At 45.7% G+C, this 17337-nt stretch overlaps 1 protein-coding gene across 15 annotated transcripts in view; it reads left to right on the plus strand.

The window, feature by feature from the left end:
• The window catches only part of GLB1L3 (galactosidase beta 1 like 3), a 49538-nt gene that overhangs the window by 8079 nt on the left and 24122 nt on the right, over positions 1-17337 (plus strand). For 8 of the 15 annotated variants that reach the window (XR_002957120.2, XM_011542567.3, XM_011542566.3 and 5 more), the window contains 3 exons: positions 4953-5045; positions 8287-8368; positions 9300-9364. Coding sequence is in view for 14 of the 15 variants with exons in the window: in XM_011542567.3 (XP_011540869.1) it covers positions 4953-5045; positions 8287-8368; positions 9300-9364 (240 nt within the window). In the remaining variant the exon portion in view is untranslated. The other 7 variants (XM_011542568.3, XM_011542570.3, XM_017017155.3 and 4 more) reach the window with 4 other exon arrangements.

Below are 17337 nucleotides of genomic sequence, written 5' to 3' on the forward strand. Positions count from 1 at the left end.
GTAAAGCCAAATTGTCCCCTGCATCTTTCTTACGTGCCCTTTAGGGAAAGAGTTTGTTCTGGCTTGATCACTGAAGAGGCCACATGCAGTCTCCATGAACAATTGAGTTGACTTTCTTGTAACCTTGAGTTCTGGACCCTTGGCTTGAGGACAGAAGCACTGACCTGTCCTGTCCTTGTTGTCCGGGTAAGCTTCCCCAGGGTTGCTAGAAAGACTCATCACACAAGGCAGGGACTGGTTGTCCACATGAACTTACTATTCCTCAAGCTTGCCAATCTTCCCATTGCTTCTTTCCACTTTTGACATGGCAAAAAGACTCAGAAGGTACAAATGAATTTTTGGTCAGATAAAAATCTCACCTTCCACCCTGTCCCAAAGCCATTTAGTTGCCCTTTCAGGAGACAACCAATTTTACTAGATTTTGTGTCTCTTTTTAGAGATTTTATCAGCACAGAAGCAAATTATACACACGTGTCTATGCCTCTCAGGCATTTTTCTTTTGTTACTTGAAATACGTAGATTTGAAACCAGCCACTCTTTTTAGTGCCTGCACACTGTTCCCTAGTAGGGATGTATCATAATTCATTTAACAGGTATTCAGTCCAGGCTTGGTGACTCATGCCTATAATCCCAGCATTTTGGGAGGCCGAGGCAGGGGGGTCACCTGAGGTCAGGAGTTCGAGATCAGCCTGACCAACATGGGAAACTCCATCTCTACTAAAAATACAAAAAAATTAGCTGGGCATGGTGGCACATGCCTGTAACCCCAGCTACTCAGCTGGCTGAGACAAGAGAATCACTTGAACCTGGGAGGCAGAGATTACAGTGAGACAAGATCATGCCGCCACACTCCAGCCTGGGCAACAGAGTGACACTCTGTCTCAAAAAACAAAACGAAACAAAAAAACAAAACTCGGGAATTCATATCCTATTCATGGACATTTGGATTTTCCATTTATGTTGTAAAAAAATAACTTGCACCCCCCATTCCGTGTCTGTGTAAGTCTACCTGCTATTGCCCTGCATTCTAGTTTGATTTACTCCTACAGATGGGAAGAACACAGGTGCCATGCATTGCCTTTTTTTTTTTTTTTTTTTTTTGAGACAGAGTCTTACTCTGTTGCCCAGGCTGGAGTGCAGTGGCTTGATCTTGGCTCACTGCAACCTCCACCTCCTGGGTTCACGCCATTCTCCTGCCTCAGCCTCCCAAGTAGCTGGGACTACAGGTGCCCACCACCATGCCCGGCTAACTTTTTGTATTTTTAGTAGAGATGGGGTTTCACTGTGTTAGCCAGGATGGTCTTGATCTCCTGACCTCGTGATCCCACCACCTCTGCCTCCCAAAGTGCTGGGATTAAAGGTGTGAGCCACTGCGCCCAACAGCATTGCCTTTTTTATGGTGTACCCAGACCTCATGCACTTGATAAGAAACGCCTTCATTTTTACCATGGCAACCTAGAGCACACAGTCAGGTCTGTGACAAAAAAAGAACATTGTACTGTGCGGTCTACAAGACAGCATTGTTTGATCATTGTAATTTTTTTAAATTTAAACAACATAACTCTTCCAAAAGAGAAGATGCACTTGGATATTAAGTAAAAATAGTTCAAGGACACGTCTCTTGATGCAGCTCGAGATGGGATAAAAATCTAGATTATGGCCTGGCATGGTGGCTCACGGCTGTAATCCCAGCACTTTGGGAGGCCAAAGTGGGAGGACTGCTTGAGCCCAGGAGTACAAGACCAGCCTGAGCAACATAGTGAGACCACAACTCTACAAAAAATACAAAAATTCGAGAGCGTGGTGAGCACCTGTAGTCCCAACTACTCGGGAAGCTAAGGTGGGAGGATGGCTTGAGCCCAGTTGCAGTGACCTGAGATCGTGCCTCTGAACTCCAGCCTGGGTGACAGAGCAAGACCTTGTCTCAAAAACAAACCAAAAAAACACCTGGATTTTTAGGTAGTAGTAGGCTGATATCTTACTCTTCTGTTTGGGAGTAAATATGGCAAACATATAGATCTAGGCCTTTGTAACTAATTTGGAATCATGAATTGTGAGTTCTGTTTTTTTTTTTTTTTTTGGAGACGGAGTCTCACTCTGTTGCCCAGGCTGGAGTACAGTTGTGTGACCTCGGCTCACCGCAACTTCCACCTCCTGGGTTCAAGCAATTCTCCTGCCTCAGCTTCCTGAATAGCTGGGATTACAGGCACCAACCACCATGCCTGGCTAATTTTTGTATTTTTAGTAGAGATGGGGTTTCACCATGTTGCCCAGGCTGATCTCAAACTCTTGACCTCAGATGATCCATCTGCCTCGGCCTCCCAAAGGGCTGGGATTACAGGCATGAGCCACAGAACCCAGCCTGTGAGTTGTTCTTATTAGGATAATTATAAAGAGAAGAATCGAGGGATAACAAAGGAAGAATGTGAGAGAGAGCTTAGGAATGGTGTTGCTGCAATACAGTTTTGAGAGACGGGCACTGCTGAGAGGAAGAAAACCCTGTCTTTAGGATTAAACTCTGGCTCCGTTAGGTGGAGTTGAGGTACATCTTTTGTTTGAAGGGCTGAAGCTGTATGTGTCTGTTTGCATTTCTGCAATCTAGATGGGACTCAGTGGCAGGAGTGAGCCTCAAAACCAGAAAGACTGGTGGCCGGGCGCGGTGGCTCACGCCTGTTAATCCCAGCACTTTGGGAGGCTGAGGCGGGTGGATCACGAGGTCAGGAGATGGAGACCATCTTGGCTAACACGGTGAAACCCCGTCTCTACTAAAAAATAGAAAAAATTAGCCGGGCGTGGTGGCGGGCGCCTGTAGTCCCAGCTACTCGGGAGGCTGAGGCAGGAGAATGACGTGAACCCGGGGGGCGGAGCTTGCAGGGAGCCAAGATGGCGCCACCGCACTCCAGCCTGGGCGACAGAGCGAGACTCCGTCTCAAAAAATAAATAAATACATAAATAAGAAATAGACATGCATTAAAATAATAGATAGGTAGGCTATATAATACACAGAAAACATTTATACAAAATTAATGTCCAGGCTGGGAGCTGTGGCTCACACCTGTAATTCCAGCACTTTGGGAGGCCGAGGTGGGTGGATCACGAGGTCAGGAGATCAAGACCATCCTGGCTAACACGGTGAAACCCCGTCTCTACTAAAAAATAGAAAAAATGAGCCGGGCGTGGTGGCGGGCGCCTGTAGTCCCAGCTACTCGGGAGGCTGACGCAGGAGAATGACGTGAACCCGGGAGGCGGAGCTTGCAGGGAGCCAAGATGGCGCCACCGCACTCCAGCCTGGGCGCCAGAGTGAGACTCCGTCTCGAAAAAAAACAAAAACCCAGAAAGACTGAATATTTGGATGGAAGTTTTACCAGAAGCACAAATGCCGTTCACAGGCACATGTATGCAACGAGGAAAGCTAATTTACAGGCATCCCATTGAACTGTGGGAAATGCTAGGAAACTTTTAAGAAGCAAGGAATTATAAGGGTAAGTGAAATGTAATGCCCCATACCTCGCATACCTTGCACTAATTTAATTATTGATACATCATTAGTATTTTAAGGTCCCTTTACGGAATTGGTTGTCATTATTGTTTTAATTATTATGTAAAAATAATTTTTAGAGTGCATTACTGGTTTACTTGGGACTTTTATTCTTATCCTGTTTATTTCACAAGGCCGACTGGAAATTCCTCTGCAATGGGGTTTTTAGAAGTCTCACCCTTCGGGTTGGAGAGAACTGATACTGTTCAATAATAAAAACAATTGTTTTCAACTCACTCGCTGAGAATATTTATGTCCATCCAGCGAGTAATTGCTGAGCGCCAGGGCCTGTGTGGTCACTGCTGGGTGTACCAGGCACAGCGGAGAGGCCATGCGTCCACTCGGGGGGCAGGCGTGGCGCTGCCCTGTGGAGGCAAACAGAATCTCAGTAGGAGCTGTGGGAAGCCAGCACGCCTGGGCAGAGGGTGAGGCGGGAAGGAGGCAGAGGGGAACCTGCAAAGGAAAAGCTGACAGTCATGCCTCTTCTCCTTCCTTAGTGCCCTCAGAGCCAGCATTCTTTTGTCCAAGAGGGAGGAACGCACTATAAAGCTGGCCATTTATGCTGTAGGCAGTGGGGACCCCGGGCCTGCTGTATGTTGGGACAAAAAGCTCAGACCTTGGCTTTCCAGCACTCAGGCTGCCTTCTCTGTGGCTGGGCTCCAAGGAGAAGGAAATGCATCAGACTGTGGAAGGACCCTGAAAGAGGATACTCTGAAAAGGCCTTTGAGTTTAGCATAACTAGGTCAATGTTGATGGTCTGGATGGCAGGATGGGCTGGAAGCTTTCCCAAGGGAGTTTGAGGAGTGAGTTAAAAGCAAGAAAGCAGGAGATGTGGGTGTAGATGACCGGTAGCTCTTCTAGGAAGTGTGGCTCTTAATGAGGAGAGTGGGAAGAGGGGAACATTCCTGGGCCTCTGCCCCCATCTTGATGCGGAGGGTCCTGAGTAAGTTTCCATGATCATGGAGGTCAGCTTGTTGCAAAGGAAGGTCAAAGGCACGGAGGGGAGAGGGGCTGTGCCCAGAGCCACGTTCCTGATCAGGCAGCGGAAGGCCGTGGGACCCACACGCAAGTGGTGGCATAAGCCTAAGGCAGGAGGGAGGTGGGAATATGGATGGGATTGGCGTGGAAGCAGGTGCATTTGTAGGTTTGAGGGCTCAAATTTAAGTAGCCAGTGTGAGAACCAGAGGGAAACCTGGCAGTTACGTACTGTAACGCACTAGGGAAGGCGGCTCCCACAGCAGCCAAGTGACCCAGCAGACTCTAACTCCAGCGCTGGAGCAGAGCGTGCAGACCACAGGGGCCGTGGATCAGAGCCTGCCGCACCAGCTGTGCAGCCTTCGGCAGCAAGCTCAGAGACTCCAGGCTTTTGCCCCAAATAGCCTCACTCTTTAACCCTCCTATGCTTGTTTCTCAGTACCGCCAGGCAGGCCCTGTCATCGCGGTGCAAGTGGAGAATGAGTATGGCTCATTCAATAAGGATAAAACATACATGCCGTATCTCCACAAGGTAAGAGGGCCTTGGTTTGGCCCCATGTTTACATGCCTCCTTCCTCCTCTGTGCGTTTCTGATTCCTGGATGCATGAGTGATCGGGCTGGACACTGTGCATTCTGAGAATGTTGGCCTGTGAACACGAGGTGCGGAGGGGTGCCGGCCCACTGCATAGCTGAAAATTTGCGTATAACTTTTGACTCCCTCAAAATTTAGTCACTAATAGTCTACTGTTGACTGGAAGCCTTACCAATAATAAACAGTCGATTAATGCAGGTTTTGTATATCTATTATATACTGTATTCTTACAGCAAAGTAAGCTTCAGAAAAGAAAATGTTACTAAGAAAATCATAAGGAACAGAAAATGTATTGACTTCTCATTAAGCAGAAATGGATCATGGTAAAGGTCTTTATCCTCATCATCTTCAGGTTAAACAGGCTGAGGGGGAGGAGGAAGAGGTGGAGGAGGAGGAGTTGGTTTTGCTGACTCAGGGGTGGCAGAAGAGGTGGAGGAGGTGGCAGGAGAGGCAGGGGATTGTAACTCGTATTGAAAAAAATCCGAGTATAAGTGGATCCGCACGGTTCAAACCTGTGTTGTTCAAGGTTCAACTGTAGATCAAGTTCATTTTCTCTGTGAATTTACAGCAGTCAAGACAATCACTATGTACCTAAATAACTATTAGAAGACAGAACATGGCATTAAAGGGCTATTCCTTTCTGCTTCCTGTCTCTATGACCCACGACTCTCATTAAAGCTGGGGCTGGTGAATCTTCCTCCACTGTAAATAATGCTTCAAGAACTTAGTGATGGGACTCTCAGCTTGAAGCTTTCTGGCCTGTAAGATAAACGTCGTCTCTTCTGTCCCTCTTGCTTCTTCACGGAGGGACTGTCAGGCCAGGGAATAACTGCAGTCCTGCCTGCTGTCCTTCCTGGTGGCTCAGCCCCTGCTGGCCCCTGACTTCCCATATTCAGAAAGCTGATGAGAGTTCAGTCTCAACTGAACCCCACCATGGGCTGCCAAGCAGAGTGCAGGGCTGCAGGGTTGGCCTGAGCCGTCCTGACTCCGCCCTTGCCTCTGCAGCAGTGCCTGTGCGGAGACCTCTGGCTGGAGGCCGGGGCGGGAAGGAGAGGGGTCCCCAGCTGGGCAAAGTGGGGAGGAGGGCGGGGCTGGACTTCATCCACGTGCTGGCTCCCGCGCTATAGCTGTGGCTTCTGGAGGTGGACAAGGTCAGAGAGTAATTTCCCTCCCTGTCTTTTCCCAGGGGACGCGTGGCTGCCCTGCATCGGTTGTGTTCAGCCAGCATTATTTAATCGGTTGTATTCAGCCAGCATTATTTAATCGGTTGTATTCAGCCAGCATTATTTAATCGGTTGTGTTCAGCCAGCATTATTTGTTTTTGATTTTAAAATTTACCGGCTGTGCTCAGTGGCGCATGCCTAGAATCCCAGCACTTTGTGAGGCTGAGGTGGGTGGATCACCTGAGGTCAGGAGTTCGAGACCAGCCTGGCCAACGTGTCAAAACTCTGTCTCTACTACAAATACAAAAATTAGCTGGGCGTGGTGGTGCACACCTGTAATCCCAGCTACTCAGGAGGCTGAGGCAGGAAAATCACCTGAACCTGGGAGATGGAGGTTGCAGTGAGCCGAGATTATGCCACTGGACTCCAGCCTGGGTGACAGAGTGAGACTCGTCCCCCCCCGCCAAAAAAAAAGAAAAGAAAAAAAAAGAAAAAGAAAAAAAAACCATTCAACTCCACTCCCAGGCCCAGGTCTGACTCGATAAGCACAGGAGACGCACAGCCAGGCCCTGGCTATCTGGCCTCGTGACCATGGTTTTTCAGATTAGATGTCCCCATCCCTGCAGCCATGGCAGGCTTCCTTGTTCCCCTTGACAGTGTTCGGCAGCACCTGAGCTTGGTGAATTCCCTGATGGTTCTCAGGACCCCACAGCTGCAGCCTCTCCCCTTCCAGCACAGAGTGGTTCCCTGGTCTTCTTCCTCTTCTTTCAGTGACTTAGATCCTCTTCCAGGGCATTTCCTGGTAAACTCAGCCCTTTTTTTCCCTGGAGACTTTGATCATGGGGTGTCAGAACCCACACTCGACCGATTTTAGGGTCATTCCCCACAAAAGTCACCAGGCTGAGACCGAGACAGTGCTTTCCCCCAATTTACTAAGTTGCAGAAGGTCAGACTCTGAATTCAAACCCGTGTCTAGCTCCCATCTCACCCAACTGAACCATGCTCTGTTTAGTTTCCGATTTCCTCATATAGTCGGCCCTCAGCATCCATGGAGGATTGATTCCAGGGCCCCTGTGGACACAAAATCGGTCGGTGTTCAAGTTCTTGACATAAAATTGTGTGGCACTTCCATGCAACCTATGCACATCCTCCCATATGCTTTTTTTTTTTTTTTCTGAGATAGTTTTACTCTGTCACCTAGGCTGGCGTGATCTCGGTTCATTGCAACCTCTACCTCTGGTTTCAAGCAATTCTTGTGACTCAGCCTCCCGAGTAGCTGGAATTACAGGTATGCGCCACCACACCTGGCTAATTAGAGACAGGGTTTCACCATGTTGGCCAAGCTGGTCTCAAACTCTTGACCTCAAATGATCTGCCTGCCTTGACCTCCCAAAGTGCTGGCATGAGCCACCATGCCTGGCCTCTCCCATGTACTTTAACTTACCTCTAGATTACTTCTAATACCCAATATGATGTAAATGCTACATAAATAGTTGCTATATAGTACTCTTTAGGAAATAATGATGAGAAAAATGCCTGTGCACGTTCAGTACAGATGCAATTAAGAAATATATTTTTGGCCAGGCGTGGTGGCTCATACCTGTAATCTGAGTGCTTTGGGAGTACAAGGCGGGAGGCTCACTTCAGGCCAGGAGTTTGAGACCAGGCTGGGCAACATAGTGAGCCCCCGTTTCTACTAAAGAAAAAAAAATTAGCTGGACATGGTGGCGTGTGCCTGTAGTCCTAGCTACTCAGGAGGCTGAGGTGGTAAGATGGCTTGAATCCAGGAGTTTAAGGTTATAGTGAGCTATGATCGTGCCACTGCACTCCAGCCCGGGGAAACACAGCAAGACCCTGTCTCTAAAAAAAATTTAAAATTAAAAAAGTAAAAACATATTTCTGACTGTGATTGCAGAATGCATGGATGCAGAACCCATGAATATGGGGAGCTGTATGTATTTCTTTTTTCCCATGGGAATGAGGGAATTGGGTTCATTTTGGTTAATTTTCTCAACAGGCCCTGCTGAGAAGAGGGATTGTGGAGCTTCTCTTGACCTCTGATGGTGAGAAACATGTGCTGAGTGGCCACACCAAAGGAGGTACACATTTAGAGTTAGTTCACAGGAGAACAGGGCTCTCAGCCAGCCCGTGTAAATCTTGAACACACTGCAGAGAAAACCAAGTGCATCTCGATACCTCCCTTTCCCGTGTCCACTGGGATGGATCCTGGAGTTCGATGTTACAATAAATGAGGACTCAAGGTTAAGGCTCAGGGCCACTCACAGCTCCCTATCTTGGCCTTGCTCCTGCCGTCTTTAAACACAGCAGCACTGGAGCTCCTCTGTTCTCAGGACGCCTTTCCATCTCCCATAGTTTTTCTGTGGCAAGAAATCTGCATTGGTGCTGCGCCTGGCTTGGGATCAGGGCCATCTCCACTAACTTGGGAAACCACAGGGAGAACCAGAAGATGGGTGTTGTGTCAGGAACCCCGCCTAGATCCGGTTCCATTCCTGGGATCCTACCGCCCAAGGCTCTGTGTGGACACTTAGGAGATCCTAGAGAATTAAGTGGCAGGAAGATTCTGGACGGACTCATCAGATGGCAATAGTGAGGGACACGCCCGGGAGTGAGCAGGGGAGCGGGGCGAGCTGCTGCCGGCGGCTGCCGTTCTGCCTCCTTAGTAGTGGCTCTTCCAAGGAAGCCTGGCACACTGGAACACGTGCTGAGCTTGGGGCCAGGAAGCCTGTGTCCCGTTTCCAGTCTAATCATGTCAGGGAGCCTTGGCCTGGCTCACTTCTCTGCACAGAGTGTGGTTAATTTCAACAGTGGGTGTCCTCGCAAGTGTCAGGGATGTGGCGATGGCCGTGGCAGCCCTTTGGATGTGGCAGAGTGGGGTCCAGACAGCATCTCGCCATCCTCACTGCTGAGCATGGGTTCCTCCTGCGTGCGTCCGGGCCGGGGGCGCATTCCTTCCCTTCCCTGACAGCACTTGTCTCATGCCTCAGCTGGGTCTCTCTCTTCTTTATGCAGTGTTGGCCGCCATCAATTTGCAAAAACTTCACCAGGATACTTTCAATCAGCTTCATAAAGTCCAGGTAAGACATTTCAGACAGGCAGGGTTTTACAGCTCCTCCTACCATGACCTCCCTTGCCTATGTAGCTGGTATTCCGTGAAAACAGGTTTGACAAGAAGACCGCAGGTTTTCACCCTGGGTCCTCGGCAGGTTCCAAGCCATTTTGGGAGCCTTTTGGGATGGGGAAGGAGGAGGGAACCCTGCTTGTGTCACCTCCGCTTGTGGATCACGTCATGGAGATGAGTGGGAAGGGCGAGGGGTGGTGGGAATCAGAGGGAGACAATGTTCCCTTTCCCCTGTGAAGAGAGTGCTCAGAGACGGCTATGCGCGTTGCTCACGGAGGCCTCCCAGGGAGTTCTGGTGGGGCTAGCCTTTCCCGCCACAGCTTACATATTATCAGAAGGGATGAGGGTTGTACCTGCACTGATTTAAGACGTGGATTGAGCGGCTCCCACCTTCTCTCAGTGGGTGACCTCCTGTGACATTACAGAGAAGGACAAGCCACAGCCCAGCCTCCAGGGAGTACATCTGTCCTTTCTCTGCAGCCTCCAGGGAGTACATCATCTGTCCTTTCTCCACAGCCTAGCTAGAGTGCGTGCTTCAAGACCAGGCCTGGTCACAGTCTCCTCTGCTTAACACCCTCTCCTGGTTGTCCTTTGTGCCCAGGATGACATGCAGCCCCCACGCCTTGGCCAGCTGGGCCGCTGTGAGCCTCTGCCTCCGCTCCCAGCCCCGCTACCCCTCCCTTGAGGGCCTTCCTTCCATTCCAGCACACTGCAGCCCCGAAGGCTAGCCAGACTCTGCAGCTTCAGGGCTCTGCCCCTACCCTCCACCCACATTATAAATAAGACTCATGAAACTTACTTCTTTTTTTCATCAATTTCTTTTTTTTTTTGAGACAGAGTCTCACTCTTGTTGCCCAGGCTGGAGTGCAATGGTATGATCTCGGTTCACTGCAACCTCCGCCTCCTTGGTTCAAGCGATTCTCCTGCCTCAGCCTCCCGGGTAGCTGTGATTACAGGCACCTGCCACCACACCCAGCTAATTTTTGTACTTTTTGGTAGAGATGGGGTTTCACCACGTTGGCCAGGTTGGTCTCAAACTCCTGACCCCAGGTGATCCACCCACCTTGGCCTCCCAAAGTGCTGGGATTACAGGTGTGAGCCACTGCGCCTGGATTTTCATCAATTTCTATACAGTTTCCAACTCGGTGAAAGGCAGGGGCCCTGCCAGGGCTCTGTGGATCTGTGGCTATCTCTAGTTTTTCAATACCTTTGCTAAGTCTTCTTCCTTTTTGTTCTTTTTTTCTTGTCACTTTCATTTAACAACTTAATTGAAATCTCATTTGTACACCATTAAATTCACCCATTGTCATCATACAATTCAACATACAGAGTTCCACAACCATCACCAGAATCCAAAATGTTCATTGCTTTTAATGCTTATCACAGTTAATCCCGTCTCCAGCCCTGGGCAGCCACCAGTCTTCTTTCCAGTTCTATAAATTTACCTTTTCTAGACGTTTCACATAAGCGCGCTCATGCAGTATTTAGTCTTTTGCATCTGGCTTCTTTCACACAGCGTGGTGTTTCTTCGAGGTCCATTTATGCATGTTGTAGCAGGACTCAGCGCTTCATTTCCTTCAATAGCTGACTGGATTGTGCTTGACTGTCACGTACGTAAAGTCATAGTCAAACCCAAAGGCCGTCCTGCTTTAGTGTGTTAATACAGTGACTGTGGTTTTTGCATGTTGAACCAGTCTTGCATTCCTGGAATGAATCTCATCTGATTGTGAGATTATCATTTTCTATTTTGCCAGATTCAGTTTATTCATATTTTTGTTGAGAATTTTTGCTTCCATGTTTATGAAGGGCATTGGTCTTTGGTTTTCTTTTCTTAAACGGTATTTGGTTTTAAAATTAGGATAACGCTGGCCTCATAAAATGAATTTGGAAGGATGCTCTCCTTTTCTATTTTCTGGAACAGATAGTGTAGAATTGTTAGCATTTCTTAATGTTTGGTAACTTTCATCACTGAAACTATCTGGACCTGAAGTTTTCCTTTTTAGAAGAATTTTAACTTGCAGTTCAATTTCTCTAACAACACAGGAAAATTTAAGTTATTTCTTCTTGGGTGAGTTGTAGTAATTTACATCTTTCAAGGATTTATTCTACTCATTTTATTCTATTCCATCTAAATTTTTGAATTCGTGGACATAGAGTTGTTTGTGATAATCCCTTGTTATCCTCTTAATGTGTTTGTTGTCATAGCGATGGCTCCTCTTTCAGTCCTAATATTGCTAATTTTGTGTATTTATTTTGGTTAGTGTGGCTAGAAGTTTATAATTTTTTTTGATCTTTGCAGAGAATCAGCTTTCGGCTTGATTTTGATTCCCTGTTATTTTTGTGTCTTCAACTTCCTTGGTTTCCGCTTTGAACTTTTAGCATTTTCTCCCTTCTGCTGCCTTCAGATTGCATTTGTTCTTTCTCTTGGTCTTTCTGGTGGAAATTTAGCTTACTGAGTTGGAACTTTTTTTCTTTTCTAATATAAGTATTTATGCTGTAAATTTCTCTGTATGTACTAGTTTTGCTGCATCTCGCCAATTTTGATGGGCTGTGTTTTCATTGAGTTCAAAACTTCAAAACATTTTTTTAAATTTCCCTTGAGACTTTCTTTATTCCATGCCTCAGTTGGGAGTGTGCTGTTTCATTTTTGAATCTTAGGGGATTTTCCAGCTAGTATTCTGTGATTGATTTCTAGTTTAATACTGTTAAGGCCCAAGAACATACTTGTATAATTTCTGTTCTTTTACATTTGTTAAGGTTTGTTTCATGGATCATAATATGGTCATTCTTGGTGAATGTTCCATGTATGTTTGAAAATAATGTGTAGTCATGAAAAAATGCTCACCATCACTGGCCATCAGAGAAATGCAAATCAAAACCACAATGAGATACCATCTCACACCAGTTAGAATGGCAGTCATTAAAAAGTCAGGAAACAACAGGTGCTGGAGAGGATGTGGAGAAATAGGAACACTTTTACACTGTTGGTGGGACTGTAAACTAGTTCAACCATTGTGGAAGTCAGTGTGGCGATTCCTCAGGGATCTAGAACTAGAAATACCATTTGACCCAGCCATCCCATTACTGGGTATATACCCAAAGGACTATAAATCATGCTGCTATAAAGACACATGCACACGTATGTTTATTGCAGCATTATTCACAATAGCAAAGACTTGGAACCAACCCAAATGTCCAACAATGATAGACTGGATTAAGAAAATGTGGCACATATACACCATGGAATACTATGCAGCCATAAAAAATGATGAGTTCATGTCCTTTGTAGGGACATGGATGAAATTGGAAATCATCATTCTCAGTAAACTATCTCAAGAACAAAAAACCAAACACCGCATATTCTCACTCATAGGTGGGAACTGAACAATGAGAACACATGGACATAGGAAGGGGAACATCACACTCTGGGGACTGTTGTGGGGTGGGGGGAGGGGGGAGGGATAGCACTGGGAGATATACCTAATGTAAATGACAAGTTAATGGGTGCAGCGCACCAGCATGGCACATGTATACATATGTAACTAACCTGCACATTGTGCACATGTACCCTAAAACTTAAAGTATAATAATAATAATAATAATAATAATAAAAACAAACAAACAAAAAAAGAAAATAATGTGTAGTTTACATCTATTTATAAATTCCCATCAGGTCAAGCTAATTGATGATATTGGCCAAGTAATCACTATCCTTACTGATTTTCTGCCTACTCATTCCATCAATTTTTGTGAGAGGAATGTTGACACCTCTAAATATAATCATAGATTGTTTATTTTTCTTTTACGCCTATTAGTTTTTGCCTGTTTTGAGGTGCATTCACATTTAGGATTATGATATTTTGTTGGAAGCTTGGCCGCTGTATCATTACGTAATATCCCTCTCCCTTGTTCTGAACTCTATTTTGATATAAATATAGCAACTGTAGCTTTCTTTTAATTAATACCTGCATGGCATATCTTTATCCTTTTGCTTTTTATATACCTTAACATCTGTATTTAAAATGGATTTCTTGTAGATATCATATATTTACATATTGCTTTAAAAAATTCAATTTGACAGTTTTTGTATTTTAAGATAATGTGGCTACATCATTCACATTTAAAGTAGTTATTGATATGGTTTGACTGAAATTTACCTTTTTGCAAATTCTTTTCTTTTTTGTACTTTGTTTCTTTCTTGTTCTTTTTTTCTCCCTTTTCTGGAGCTAATTAATAATTTTTTGATTCCATTTTATCTGTTCTGTAGACTTATTACTTATGTCAGTTTAAAAAACTGTAGCTGTTGACTTAGAATTTAAAATATAGGCCGGGCGCGGTGGCTCACGCCTGTAATCCCAGCACTTTGGGAGGCCGAGGTGGGCGGATCATTTGAGGTCAGGAGTTTGAGACCAGCCTGACCAACATGGTGACACCCCATCTCTATTAAAATACAAAAATTAGCTGGGCATGGTGGTGGGTGCCTGTAATCCCAGTTACTTGGGAGGCTGAGGCAGGAGAATCGCTTGAACCCAGGAGGTGGAGGTAGCAGTGAGCCAAGGTCGTGCCATTGCACTCCAGCCTGGGTGACAGAGGGAGACTCTGTCTCAAAAAAAAAAAAAAAAAAAAGAAAGAAAGAGAGAAAAAAATATATATATATAATTTAAAAATTAACCTGACACGACTAATCATACTGAAGTGTAGGTAGTACTAGGATTGTACAATAGTGTCTTCTTAATTCCCCACTCTAAAGATGTCTCTTCATTATTGTTTCTACTTCCATGGTTTCTGATGAGAAGTCAGTATTAATTCTTATCTTTTTTTTTTGTCTTTTATCCTCTGGCTACCTTTAGAATTTTCTGTTTGTCTTTAGTTTTCAGAAGTTTGAGTGTAATATGCCTAGATGTGGTTTGTTTCTTAAAATTTATCCTGCTTGGTGTTCCAGGAGATTCTTGGATCTGTGGTTTGGTGAAATTTACCAAACATTAAGTAAGAAATAATAATAATTCTACACGATATGTTCCAGAAAATGGAAAAGGAGAGAATACTTCTAAACTCATTTTATGAGGTCAGCATTGTCCTAATTCCAAAACCAAATAAAAACAACTAAAGCAAAGAAAACCAAAGACCAATTTCCCTTATGAACATGGAAGCAAAAATTCTCAACAAAGGATGAGCAAATTGAATCCAGCAATATGTAAAATGATAATACATTACTGATATGGTTTGGCTGTGTCTCCACCCAAATCTCAACTTGAATTGTGTCTCCTAGAATTCCCATGTGTTGTGGGACAGACCCGGTGGGAAGTAATTGAATCATAAGGGCCAGTCTTTCCCGTGCTATTCTCATGATAGTGAATAAGTCTCACGAGATCTGATGGGTTTATCAGGGGTTTCCACTTTTACTTCTTTTTCATTTTCTCTTGCTGCTGGCATGTGATAAGTGCCTTTCCCCTTCTGCCATGATTCTGAGGCCTCCCCAGCTATGTGGAACTGTAAGTCCAATTAAACCTCTTTTTCTTCCCAGTCTCAGGTATGTCTTTATCTGCAGCGTGAAAATGGACTAATACAATTACATCCTAGTGAGATTCATCCCAGGAATGCAAGATTAGGTCATTAATTTTGTAGAATTCTGAGCTGTCACTTATTAGATATTTTCTCTGCTCTCTCACCTTCTGCAATTCAAATCGCACGTACATTAGACCACTTAGTGTGGTCTCACAACTCTTGGATGCTGTTTTCTTTCCCACTGTCTTTTTTTCTCTTTACTTTTCAGTTTGCTTAATTTCTACTGACTTATCTTTAAGTTCGTTGATTCATTCCTCATGCCTGTTGAGTTTAGCGATGAGCCTATTGAAGAAATTTTTCGTTTCTCTTGCTATGTTTTTGATTTCTAGTATTTCCATTTGCTTCTTTCTTAGTTTTCATCTTTCAGCCAAAATTATCTATCTGATCTTGCATGCTGTCTTCCTTTTCCATGATAGTCTTAAGTATATTAATCATAGTTATTTTGAATTCCTTGTGAGATAGTTACAACATCTGTGTCTTATCTGTTTCTGATGATTGCTTTATCTCTTCCAAGTGTGTTCTTTTCTTGCCTTTTTGTATGTCTCATAATTTTTTATTGAAAACTGCGCATCATGCATAGGACATAGATACTGTCTTGGAGATCAGCCTGCCTTTCATTCTGCTAGGCCATGTGGGATTTTGTGTTCCCCTCGTCTGGAGTTAGGCTGGTTGTGGGGTTTGTTGTTGCTGTGTTATCCTTTGTGCATCATGGGCTTCAAATGTTTCTGGTGGTACCTTGTGTCAAGGGCAAGTGCTGGTTTGGCAGAGGTTGTTTTCTCTGTGTCTGCATTCCCCTCTGAGTCTCGCCTTTGCATTGAGTCCCACAGAGAATCTGTTGCTTGCGGATCTCTCAGCTATAGTATGTGTTACTTTTTCTCCAGCTTGGTTAGCCTGCTGGTGAGGGAGAAAGGCTTCCCCTGATGTTCTGATTATGCCTTATTGCCAGCAGATGCTGTCTGTGGGTCTGAGGGGTGTGGCCTTTGCAGGTGCTCCTACCCAGCTCTTCTTCTAGCGGCAGATCTGATCCTAGCATGTGTTCCTCCTTTCCCAAGGATAGTGCATCCCCTGCCCCTTTCCCAGATGCAATGGATTTTATCCAGTTAAGATGTCCTTAAGTGACAGCTTCTGTGCTGTTTCTCAGCTGATTGGGGCTTTTGTTCCCTAGAGAAGATGGGCTGGGAGAAGGTCTGGCAGTGGCGGTGGCTCTCTCCCCTCAGCCAGCACCAGAAAGGAAGCTGTGTTACTTTGTTAGGGTTGCCATAGCAAAGGACCATAGACTGTGTGGCTTAAACAGCAGATGTTTATTTTCCCACATTCTGGAGACTACATGTCTGAAATCAAGGTGCTGGCAGGGTAGGTTTCTTCTGAGGCCTCTCTCCCTGGCTTATTGGACGGCTGTCTTCTCCTCCCTGTGCCCTCACATGATCTCTTCTCTGTGTGTGTCTGTGTCCTAATCTCCTCTTCTTATAAGGACACCAGACATATTGGATTAGGGCCCATCCTATTGACCACATTTTTTTTTTTTTTTTTTTGAGACATAGTCTTGCTCTGTCGCCCAGGCTAGAGTGCAGTGGTGTGAACTCGGCTCACTGCAAGCTCCACCTCCTGGGTTCACACCATTCTCCTGCCTCAGCCTCCCGAGTAGCTGGGACTACAGGCGCCCTCCACCACGCCAGGCTAATTTTTTTTGTATTTTTAGTAGAGACGGGGTTTCACCGTGTTAGCCAGGATGGTCTCTATCTCCTGACCTCATGATCCGCCTGCCTCAGCCTCCCAAAGTGCTGGGATTACAGGCGTGAGCCACCGCGCCCGGCCCCTATTGACCACATTTTAATCAAGGCGCCTACAGGCTGTTCTCCTCTGAGGCCTCTCCTTATCTTGCAGATGGTCACCTTCTTAACGTGCCCTCGCATGGTCTTTCTGCCGTGAACACGAGACCCTGGTGTGTCAAAATTTCCTCTTCTTATGAGGACCCCGGTGACATGGGATTAAGACCCACACTAACAGCCTCACTTTTACCTAATTACCTCTTTAAAGGCTCTGTCTCCAAGTACAGTCACATTCTGCAGTACTGAGGGTTAGGCCTTCGTGTGAATTTGGCTGGGGGACGCAATTCAGCCTGCAACAGAGACTTGCCCGGGATTCTCCCGAATCTCCCCTCAGAACAGCTGGTAGACTTGGGGAGTTAAAGCCAGCATCAGGGTGTCAGCCGCCATCCGTCTCGGCTCCCTTGACTTCAGACTCTCACGCTGGCCCACACTGTCTTCAGCACTTCTTTAATATGATCTATTTGTGTTATATTAGAGGATCTAGCCCCAGGTAAGCAAGTGGCTTGGGTCCAGCTTCTTCCTGCAGGCATCAGGT

Source organism: Homo sapiens, chromosome 11 (assembly GCF_000001405.40).
Source record: "Homo sapiens chromosome 11, GRCh38.p14 Primary Assembly".
Classification (NCBI taxonomy): Eukaryota; Metazoa; Chordata; class Mammalia; order Primates; family Hominidae; genus Homo; species Homo sapiens.